Below are 12,515 nucleotides of genomic sequence, written 5' to 3' on the forward strand. Positions count from 1 at the left end.
AGGCTCAAAGAGTTATAAAACCCCATCCCTTTCCCCTTAGTTGAGAAACACTTGAGAAAATAGAAGGGGAAACTCTAAAAACAAGCCAAAGCACTAGCTAACACACATGCTAAATAGTATAAAGATGATAATATTGTAACAAATTACAAACCTGATGCTTCTGCTACTTGCTAACTTTTTATACCACATCAGCCCATAGCAAGGGCAGAGTGTAAAATTAACAACTAAAAGGGGAAACCAGTGAGAAGGAAACACCTAAATATGTGGGAGAAGCAAAGACCACTTAATTGCAGAGATCCAAGATGCTATATTTTACTCCAGTTGAAAATGCAAATGATGCCATCATCAACTATTCCTTGGCAATATTTCTTACTATTCACAGTGCAGTTGTGTGGTCTGAAAACAATTTATACTGAACAAAAACTACTGCTTCTTTGACTGATTCTGATATTGGATTCTTCCCTTTGCCTCCCTCAAATACAATCTCTTCTATGAATACACAGTGAGTCAATCTGGTATATCTTGATGGTTGAATAAGCTCTTTGATTTTTGAATTATTTTGAGATTAACTGAATTTGAAACATGGGCTGCCTGCAATGTCTTGCTGGCACAAAAAGATGAGCTTTGTTATTGACAGAGAAGACTTGCAAACGACATTTTTTATCATTATTCGCCTGTGCAGAATTCGTGTTCACTTCAGCCTGGCCCAGCTGCCTGGATGAGCACTTCGAGGCCAGGTTCAAAGTGCAATTTACAATCTTCTCTCTCGACTTCTGTGACATGCTGCACAGTACAGGGTGACTCTTCAGCCTGAGAGAACAGACATATTTTTTTGCCACAATCAATGAACATTGTCCATTATATTAGGGTTTTTGAGAACTTTCATGATGTCCCAAGTTGAATCAAAATGTCACTGCTTCAAGGGTTTGTATGTGAGCCCTACAATCCTGTTCTTGGTTCCAAAGGAAACTTAGCAATTTCATATCAGCCTTACGGTCTCAGTCTGTGGACTACAAGATAATCAAGCGTTCTTTATCTATTTCTTATTCTCTTAGTAACTCCCACTCTTCCTCATTTCTCCTCTTTTCTCCCTCTATTTATTCTCTTAAAACCACACTTTGCTATCTACTTAAAAGAATTACTTGTCTATCAACACTGCCACCTCTAACAATCTATAATCTCTTCTTTGTCTCTCACTCCTAATTTTGATGCTCTCTTCCTTTTCTTATTCCTTTTGGGCCAGCTTGTCCTATCCTTTAGTTGTTCTTCAAATTCTTTTCTCCAGTTTATCATTCCCTACTTTCATGTTAACAAAAAGTTCACTTGGCCTGTCCTATAGACATTGGCACAACACATATGAAAGCACCCATGGGATAGGCACAACAACTAGTTGGTTTATACAGTCACTGTCTTAGTCTGTTTTCTATTGCTGTAACAGAATGGGCCACAGACTGGGTATTTATAAAGAAAAGAAGTTTATTTTCTCATGATTCTGGAGGCTTGGAAGTCCAAGAGCACAGTGTCATCATCTGGCGAGGGTCATCTCATGATAGATAGGTGATAAGGCAAGAAATCACATGCAAAAGAGACCACAAGAGCAAGCCAAGCTGACTTTTAAAACAACCTGCTTTCTTGGGAACTAACACACTCCCATGATAATAACATTAATTTTTTCATGAGCTCTTCACCCTCATGACCCAACCACCTCTTAAAAACCCCACCTCTTAATATTGTTACACTGGCCATTAAGTTTCCAACATATGAATTGTTGAGGGAATCATTCAAATCATAGCAGCCACCTACTAGGAATTCTGCTTTAATGCATAGATAAGAATGATTTTAAATGACTATGCAGTAATTTGAAGAAGCTGGTACTTCTGAAGTGCTCACACTTTTTGCATTTCTATTATACTGAGCAAACCCTATGTACCAAATGTTTATAGGACCAGTTGTGAGGACACAATTGTGAAGAAAGACAAGAAAGTGAGAAAGTGAGAAAGGAAGTGAGAAAGTGAGAAAGGAAGTTAGAAAGCAAGAAAGGAAGCAAGAAAGCAAAAGAACAAGGGAAGAAAGGAAGGAAGGAAGAAAGAAGAAAGAAAGAAAGAAGAAAGAAAGAAAGAAAGAAAGAAAGAAAGAAAGAAAGAAAGAAAGAAAGAAAGAAAGAAAGAAAGAAAGAAAGAAAGAAAGAAAACCAGTCAATAGGCCGCCTCATAAAAGTCCATTGGGAAGCAAGACAGCAATCAGTCAGGCAGCCTTTAAGCATGATGACAAGAAAGAGGGCAGCCCAGTTACAAACACAACAATCCGAAGACCTACTAAAACTCCAGCCCTTCCAAATCACTCCATCTTTCTCAAATTCAGAGTCAGGAAGAGTAGTGATGCCCCTGGGCAACCGACAAACAATAATCTTGCATATTCCCATAAGGCCTCTGTGCCACCACTGCTGCCCAACTAATCTGCAGACCACTGCAAAATACTTCCTCCTTATTATCTTCGCTGTCAATCCCAATAAGCCCCAAGCTGAAATAAGTGAGGAGAAATCCTCCTTCTCCACCAGTTACATTCTGCCTTTAGCTAACACGGCAGCAATTACTTATGCTCCTAGGGCTACACATAAACTCTGTAGATATGACTATTTTTGCAATTATCTTTACCATTAGTATAATTGCAAGCAGCTTGAGGCAAGAGCTGTGTCATTTATGTATCCCCTGGTGCCTCTAACATGATGCCTATCACACAGTAGATGCCCAATAAATATGCATTGGATTGAGTTGTATCAATCAGCACCACTATCCACATTAAATTATTCTCCTGTTTTCCACTTTATACACTATAGACATCTGCAGCCCTTTCCTTCCATTTGGTCTTTGCTTTATTGCTAAAGACAAGAATGAAACTATCACTTTAAATCCAGTGGCCTTCCCCTTATTGAAAGCTAATCATCTACAAGGATTTTCTCTCCCACTGATACCATATGAGGAAACAATTAGCAATATTTTTTCTGATGCCAGCAAATGACCTCAGTATTAATCTTATCAGGCTTGCCTCTTTGAGGAGTTTATTCAGAAATCAATTCAGATTACATTATAAATCAAAAAGAAGAAAAAAAGCAATTCCTAGCTTTCTATTCTACCAATGCGAATATATCAGTTAGGTAATATTCTGATTAAAATGTCAGGACTATGTCACAAATGTTCTATTCTAATTTTCTTTTTCAGCTGTATACTTAATTTGCTAATCTGTTGAAATCATTTGTTCCAATAACTGCTTCTGTATTTCCTGTCTGTTTCCCCGATCATAATTTCACATATTCTATTCCTCCAGGATACTGGACACATAGAACATTATCTTCATTCTTGCCTATGTGCTTGCCACCCAATAATGAGTACACTTTCAAAATTCAAACTCAGTTCCTAAATTAGGCAGTTCATTAAACATATCCATTGGAAACTCCATTTTCTTCATCTTCCTTTCAGTAAGTTTTCTTTGAATTTTTGGGGCACGATCATTTTTTAATTTTTTGAGAAAATGTTTCTCAGAGTTTGTCACTAACTCAGAATAAGTTATAATTGGTATTTTGTTGACATGAACATGTCAACTTCTTCCCAGCTTAAGGCAAAAGATAAATACTTTTTAAAGCCAAAATAATTCTTTTTTGCCCTATTTGTAAACCAGCAGGTATAGAGGACAGCATTGCTGTAGGACAATAATAGATAAAATAGGTATCACTTTTTAAATTCTTACTATATGCTAGGAACTATTGTAAGTGCTTTATATATGGTATGAATGATCTAGCTCAAGCATGAAGAAGAAAATCTACATGGGAAAAAAGATGAGGGATAACAATAATTATTATACTATAAAAATAATAACAACAATAATAATACTTCTTGAGCATTTACTATGTGCGAAGCATTGTTCTAAGTATTTTGTATGAATTATCTCAGGTAATCCTCACAACAACCCTATAAAGTAGGAACTATTATTATTCCCATTTTACACATGTGAAAAGCAACCCTTTGAGATATTAAGTGACTTGCTCAAAAGGTTACAGATAGAGAGTTGTGAAATCAGGATTCAAAGCTAGACCTATATGATTCCAAAACCTAAATAAACTCCTACCCATTCCACTACATTGCTTCCCTTTTAGGAGAGCTTTCATTTCATCCTGAATCTGACTGTGTTGATTCAAATAAGACAATATGTAGAAAATAACTTTATAAACAGTACAATGCTATAGAAATAGAAGTGGTTATTGTGATTATTAATTTTTTTAAACATTTATTGAGTTACTGTATAGACACTATAGATGGTGTTGGATGCAGAGGATACAGCTGTGAGCAAGACAGGCATGGCCTGTAACCTTAAGGAGCACACAGTCTAGGGGATGAGCAGATATATAAACAAAGAATTACAACAATATGGGGAAGGCAAAATGAGAGATGTATACACAATCATTATGGTATTATGGGACCACACAGGAGATATTAGCCAACCTTGGTAGTGGAGAGGGCAGACGGACTATTTCCTAAAGAAGACAGGCCTGGCCAGACACGGTGGCTCACGCCTGTAATCCCGCACTTTCGAAGGCCAAGGCGGGTGAATCACTTGAGGTCAGGAGTTCCAGACCAGCCTGGCCAACATGGTGAAACCCCGTCTCTACTAAAAATACAAAAAATTAGCTTGGCGGGGTGGCAGGCACAGTGGTGGGCACCTGTAATCCCAGCTACTCAGGAGGTTGAGGCAGGAGAATCTCTTGAACCCGGGAGGCGGATGTTGCAGCGAGCCAAGGTCGTGCGCCATTGCACTCCAGCCTGGGCAACAAGAGCGAAACTCCATCTCAAAAAAATAAATAAATAAAAATAAAAATAAAAAAGAAGATAGACCTAAGCTGAATCTTAAAGATCCGTCAAATCCTACAGATCAATTAGGTATAGGGAGAGAAAGGCATTCTAGACTAAGTGGTAGTATATGCAAAGTAGAAAAGCAAGAAATGGCATGGCATAAGGAAGGAATAAAATACATTTCTAAGGTAAAGCTGGAAAAGTAGGCAGGATACAGACTTGGAGGGCCTTATATGTCATATGAATTATGTTTAGCTTTATTCAGTAGGTAACAGGGAAGCTTTGCACAGTTTTAACCAAATAAATGACAAGGTCAGATTTCATAACAGAAAGGTCTGCCTGGTAGTTGCATGGAGAATGTACTGAAGGGGAGAATATCAGAGGTCTATTGGGAAACTACTATCAGTTCAGAAGTTAAAATGAGAGACCGTTAGTAGGGATAGAGTAGAAAGGACAGATGCAAGAAATATTTAGAAGAGAAAGCCAACTAGATAGTGATTTATTAGATGTAGAAAGTTAAATGAAGAAAGGAGTATAATACGACTTTTCAACTGGGTAACAAAACAGGACATCAGAAGAAGGAACAGATTTGATGGGAAGGAATGATGAGCTCCATTTTGGACATATAGAGTTTGAATTGCCTGTGAGAGATCCCACTGAAGATACTGGCAGGCCATCAAATATATAAGGCTGACATTTCAGGGAGATGTTGGGGCTAAAAATATAGATCTGGGAATCATCATCACATAGATTATGAGTGGACAATGCCTGGTGAGAGGGCTGACTTTTGCAAGTGGAGTTTCTGTGGATAATGACAGCAGAAGCCAATTTACAACAGAATGAAGAGGGAATAGAGGTGTGAAGGTGGAGACAATAAGTGTAATCTACTTAAGAAGTTAGGATGAGAAGAAAAAGAATGAAAGAATAGGACTGTGGAAATCAAGGAAGAGATTTTATTTGTTTTTAGAATAGGAAAGATTTATGTTAAATGTTACTTACAATCTCTTTCAAGGTCACCATTAAGATGGAAGCTTATTGGCAATGGGCCAGTCAGATCCCTAGTAGTAGATCGTAGGAAAGAAGCCTATGTCCCCAATATTCTGAGAAATTTAGTAATGATAATTCTGAAAGATGAAGTTGACAGAAAGGGAGAGTAATTATTTATGAATAAGACAAACAAATTGGTGATCCACTTATTGGTAATTTTGGATTGCTAATAAACGTTTAACAAAAGGGGGTTCAATAACTCAACATCACTTTAAGCCAAAAAAAATATTTTAAAGCTGTCTGTAGCTGCTCATAAATTGAATTTTGTAGCATGTGATTGACTTCCTGCCAAGAACATTTGCTTGTTCCAACTTAGTCTGCTTTATCTAGATACAGTAATTATTTCATTTTGGCAAAGACACTTATTTGAAATCAACACATACCAACCCCCATATTTTACCCCTTCTGAGTTGTCTTCATCCCCCATTGTCTGCCTAATAAGTCTGTTAATGAAAAGGTCTCTACAGTAAAGGCCTTCCAGAAAACATTTGTCTCCAGATAGAGGCTCACTAGAGGGGAGCCATAGTACTGGTCACACTGGGTCTGGTACCCAGAGAGCAAAGGGTGATTCAGCCAAGCATCTAATCTACCTGCAAGAAGATGGTAACTGCTGCTCTTCCAAACCCCATCCCAGGTTCTGAGCCTAGTCACATCAGGTCACATAAATGGGGCAGACAGTATTGGAAGGACTGTAGCAAGCCATACCACCTTGATATAGTTTCGATCATTTGTTGCCACAAGTTAACAGTCATTTCTGCATCCATCTCCTGACCTCATGGAGCAGGTTCCAGATAAGAGTACAGCTTGCCTGATCAGAGGACTATCTCTTAGTATTCACAAACCCCCAAATTACCAAATGACACCTTTTGGTTCCATGCAGAAAAGAGGAGGGTGCTCTTCTCCCCAGGTGTGTATTGTATTTTATCAGCTGGACCCAAAACAGAATTATTAGTATTCGGTCTCACAAAGATGCTTCTAAAAACAACTTCAGCTTCTGTCTGTAGTTTTTAGGTACATAGGGGCTAAGAAAACCAGTCCATGGGATCAGTAAGGGCAACAGACCCCATAATTGCATTAGCTAACATATTTTGAGGTAATTATCAGACACTGCTTTAAATGTTTTGTATATATTGATAGATTTAATTTTTTTCTATAACCCAATGAAGTTAGTACTTATCTGCATTTTTCATGTAAGGAAAGGCAGTCACAGAAAGGTTAGATAACTTGCCCAAGATCACTTAGCAAGTAAGTGGCAGAGTCAGTATTTGAATCCAGGTAGCTTGACTTTAGAATCTATGCTCTTAGTTGAAATGATCTATTGCCTTTCTGGGCATACTGCCCTTGCCATTAACCATTCTCTATCTCTGATCCCTAGTCACCTAAACACAGCAGCCTACTTCTCTTAGGTCTCTTTCCTGTTAGATGCTTCAGTTAATGTAGTTTGATACTGTGTGAGCCACTGACTCAGCACACAGCTAGATTATGAATCCAAGATCAGGCTTAGCTAGGATATCCTGCTATACTTAATTGAGATAACGTATATAAAGAACCCCAAAGCAATGTTTGGTAAATAGCAAGCACTCAAACATATTCATTTTTTAGATTTTTAAAAACAACCAAAAAAGAACCATCCAGTGCCCAGGCAGGCCAAAAAAGAAGATAGCTAATCAGTCTAGAATTATGATTTCAAGGAGTTGAGAGGAAGAGGGCAATCAGGTCATTCTAGGTGGTCCCTTTTACTTTTGTTTCAACTCCTCCCTACTCATCCACACACAAATAGTGCCATGGGTAAGGGCAATCTGAGCCTTTCCCAGGCCTGAAGCTCAATCTATGTTCCCTTAAGAAGATTCAATGGAGCAACAGGAAATTTGCACAGAGAAAGAAGGTGGGGAGAGAGAAGAAAATTGACCCAATCAGTAACAAGAACTCTTCTGTTATACAAAGCAAGCCTCCATAACTACCCTCTTGTAGGGTTAAAATAATGAAACCTCAGCTTTACCAATCATTCACATCTTAATAGGAATGATCCTTTCCAAAAGGTGAGCTCACTATAGGTTGGTTTCCCTGAAAAGTAGTCAATAGCTGGGGGACCTGATGACCTAAGGTTGAAAGAGAAAGAGCAATAAAAACAATCTTCCCAAGCTTCATAATTTTGTCTAATGCTTGGTACGCAATTGGCTCCTACCACAAGTAGGGCCAACATATCCATTAGGCATAGTAGGTACAGGGCCTGGGATCCACAAAAAAAATGTTTTGCTTTGCTCTAAAATAAGAATAAATAATTAACTCTGAGGTAGAAAAAAGTGTTTTAATATATAATATCAATATATTCATTCTTATACCAATACAATTATAAAATATAATTTTAACATTCTTATGGAAGAATAGGTAAATGAAGGCAAAAATGCCTAGGGCTCATAAAAGTCATAATATGGCCCTGGTCCCAGGTTATGTTTCCATGGAAGTAGATACCGAGAAAGAGTTTAGCGTCCAGGATGGTTATTAAGGAGTACCTGCAGTGGCAGCACTTGTTGAAGAGAAAGAAAGGAAGCTGAAAGGAACAGAAGGAAATGTCAAGCTGCACTGCAAGCTAAAGGACAGACTTGGCCAACCCCACAGGGAGCTCTGGAGCTAGAATGGCCCTTCAGAGTCGTTGCAGGTTGGGCTGGGATGATCAGGCCTTTTTATCCCCCACCTTGGATATGGATGCTCCAAGAAGTAGTGTGGCCTAGGGTGAAGTGACCCCGTGCAGCTGACGTAAACCTTGAAGGGACTGGCAGCTGGAGGCTGTCTGTTAACCTGATTCTCAGTACCTGTGCGGCATAGTCCCTCCTTGAAGAAGGAACTGACTGGTGCCTCATACCATCCCCCTGTATCTATTATACTCACTGTGGAGGAAGAGCCTTCAGTGGGAAGGAATCAACACCAACTACCTCTGCTGGCTGAAAGCAGGGCCCAGTGGCATTATAGCCCCATTTCCTTCCAATCTGTTAAGAACAGCCACAGGAAAGACATCATAAATTACATCAAATACATTATGTAGAGCATTTATTTTTATCTTAGTCTACAGCCCTTGAGTTATTTTTATCACCTTTTAAAAAAGAAAATTCAGCTCTCCCTGGCCATCTCATCAATTTGTCAGGTTTGAATTCTGAAATCTATATATCCATATAAAATTTAACCCGTCCAAGCATATTTTTATCCCCACATAAAATTTATGTCAGCAGTGTTTTGCCAATATGGCTACCATAAAAGTTTTGTTTAGACCAAGAGAGTGAGCTCTATATGTCGTGGATAACAATTTCCTTGGTGCAGAACAGTCAATAATATAAGTTATAGGATAGAGTGCCTGGATGACTGCCTTGTGTACACTTTTACTAGCATAAACGTGTTCATCTTCTGATTAGATACAAAATGGGCCAGGTACCATCTTATCTACAGTTCGTTTCCCACACCTATATTGCATAGGTAGCAAGACCCAGAGAAGGGAAGAAAATCAGCATCAACCCAAATAGAAGAGTTAGTTGAATAAAACCTATTTGAGAAAAGGAAAAGACAGAAGAGGAGGGGTTGCACTTGGGAATAATGGACTAAAGTGGAGGTTTTAGGAAATACTACCTATTGATTTCTCACTCACAAGTGGTGCAAGCGAGATCTTTAGTAGATTTTTAAAAATTATTATTATTATTATAATGATCATTTGAGGGAAGAAACAATAACATAGAAATGCTTATTTTCTTCTTTAGCAAAATGTCCATTACTTCCCACTTGGCTCCTCTTCTCCCTAGATTTGATTATTCAGAGATAACTTATGAAAGGCAATTTCAAACTCTGTATAGTACCTTGCTCATTTTCCCAAGTAGTTCTTTTAATGGGTTTTGCACATCCTGGGTTTCAGATTATGTAATCTTAGGCGAACTCCATGATCTGACTCTAGCAATTGACAGATACAGATTTGATTATACAATCATGAATGGCTAGGGAAAGCTTTCATTCTTCTTTCAAACCCATAATTGCCTGAGCTTTCCTTTGCAGCTGCCTGCCTCTCGGCAACCCAGTTGGGTTTCATTTTGCAGACTGCTAACTCCTAATCACAAACTCCACTTTTTGTGATGGGGAAAACAACCATGCAGCACCAAAACAACAACAAGGACCATTCTTTTCTAACATAGAAATTTGTCCAAATACCAAATCCTATTTCTGCATCACAAAGGCCATCTCTATCTGGACTTTGCATGGCCCACATATTCTATATTAAGGAAATTCACTATGAGAAAATCTAGATTTATAAAGTATTGGGGTAGGGATTATTTGAATAGACATAGGTAAGAGGGTGGAAATACACAGGAAATATCAATTCATGTATTTGCTTTAAATAAAGGATTTCATAATGGTCCTCTTGAGCATCAACTTCCCCAATATTCACACTTGCTACACTTAAGTACACCCACATTTCTCGACTGCTCAAGGAAATAAAAGAGGATACAAACAAATGGAAGAACATTCCATGCTCATGGGTAGGAAGAATCAATATCGTGAAAATGGCCATACTGCCCAAGGTAATTTATAGATTCAATGCCATCCCCATCAAGATACCAATGACTTTCTTCACAGAATTGGAAAAAACTAAAGTTCACATGGAACTAAAAAAGAGCCCACATTGCCAAGTCAATCCTAAGCCAAAAGAACAAAGCTGGAGGCATCACACTACCTGACTTCAAACTATACTACAAGGCTACAGTAACCAAAACAGCATGGTACTGGTACCAAAACAGAGATATAGATCAATGGAACAGAACAGAGCCCTCAGAAATAATGTCGCGTATCTACAACCATCTGATCTTTGACAAACCTGAGAAAAACAAGCAATGGGGAAAGGATTCCCTATTTAATAAATGGTGCTGGGAAAACTGGCTAGCCATATGTAGAAAGCTGAAACTGGATCCCTTCCTTACACCTTATACAAAAATTAATTCAAGATGGATTAAAGACTTAAATGTTAGACCTAAAACCATAAAAACCCTAGAAGAAAACCTAGGCAATACCATTCAGGCCATAGGCATGGGCAAGGACTTCATGCCTAAAACACCAAAAGCAATGGCAACAAAAGCCAAAATTGACAAATGGGATCTAATTAAACTGAAGAGCTTCTGCACAGCAAAAGAAACTACCATCAGAGTGAACAGGCAACCTACAGAATGGGAGAAAATTTTTGCAACCTACTCATCTGACAAAGGGCTAATATCCAGAATCTACAATGAACTCAAACAAATTTACAAGAAAAAAACAAACAACCCCATCAAAAAGTGGGTGAAGTATATGAACAGACACTTCTCAAAAGAAGGCATTTATGCAGCCAAAAAACACATGAAAAAATGCTCATCATCACTGGCCATCAGAGAAATGCAAATCAAAACCACAATGAGATACCATCTCACACCAGTTAGAATGGCGATCATTAAAAAGTCAGGAAACAACAGGTGCTGGAGAGGATGTGGAGAAACAGGAATACTTTTACACTGTTGGTGGGACTGTAAACTAGTTCAACCATTGTGGAAGTCAGTGTGGCGATTCCTCAGGGATCTAGAACTAGAAATACCATTTGACCCAGCCATCCCATTACTGGGTATACACCCAAAGGATTATAAATCATGCTGCTATAAAGACACAGGCACACGTATGTTTATTGTGGCACTATTCACAATAGCAAAGACTTGGAACCAACCCAAATGTCCCACAATGATAGACTGGATTTAAAAAATGTGGCAGGGTCAAATGGTATTTCTAGTTCTAGATCCCTATACCCAAAGGACTATAAATCATGCTGCTATAAAGACACATGCACACGTATGTTTATTGCGGCATTATTCACAATAGCAAAGACTTGGAACCAACCCAAATGTCCAACAATGATAGACTGGATTAAGAAAATGTGGCACATATACACCATGGAATACTATGCAGCCATAAAAAATGATGAGTTCATGTCCTTTGTAGGGACATGGATGAAATTGGAAACCATCATTCTCAGTAAACTATCGCAAGAACAAATAACCAAACACCGCATATTCTCACGCATAGGTGGGAATTGAACAATGAGATCACATGGACACAGGAAGGGGAATATCACACTCTGGGGACTGTGGTGGGGTCGGGGGAGGGGGGAGGGATAGCATTGGGAGATATACCTAATGCTAGATGGCACGTTAGTGGGTGCAGCGCACCAGCATGGCACATGTATACATATGTAACTAACCTGCACAATGTGCACATGTACCCTAAAACTTAAAGTATAATAAAAAAAAAAACATTAAAAAAAAAAATGTGGCACATACACACCATGGAATACTATGCAGCCATAAAAAATGACGAGTTCATGTCCTTTGTTGGGACATGGATGAAGCTGGAAACCATCATTCTCAGCAAACTAATGCAAGGACAAAAAACCAAACACCGCATGTTCTCACTCATAGGTGGGAACTGAACAATGAGAACACTTGGACACAGGAAGGGGAACATCACACACCGGGGACTGTTGTGGGGTAGGGGGAGGGGGGAGGGAGAGCATTAGGAGATATACCTAATGTAAATGAGGAGTTAATGGGTGCAGCACACCAAGATGGC

General features: G+C 38.7%; 1 long non-coding RNA gene across 3 annotated transcripts in view; it reads right to left on the reverse strand.

The window, feature by feature from the left end:
* Positions 1-4,874: 4,874 nt before the first annotated feature.
* The window catches only part of LOC124905213 (uncharacterized), a 275,363-nt gene continuing 267,722 nt past the window's right edge, over positions 4,875-12,515 (reverse strand). For all 3 annotated transcript variants that reach the window (XR_007068324.1, XR_007068325.1, XR_007068316.1), the window contains one exon: positions 4,875-8,878. This is a non-coding gene — a long non-coding RNA (uncharacterized LOC124905213). The remainder of the gene's footprint in view (positions 8,879-12,515) is intronic.

The sequence above is a fragment of the Homo sapiens genome, chromosome X, assembly GCF_000001405.40.
Source record: "Homo sapiens chromosome X, GRCh38.p14 Primary Assembly".
Classification (NCBI taxonomy): Eukaryota; Metazoa; Chordata; class Mammalia; order Primates; family Hominidae; genus Homo; species Homo sapiens.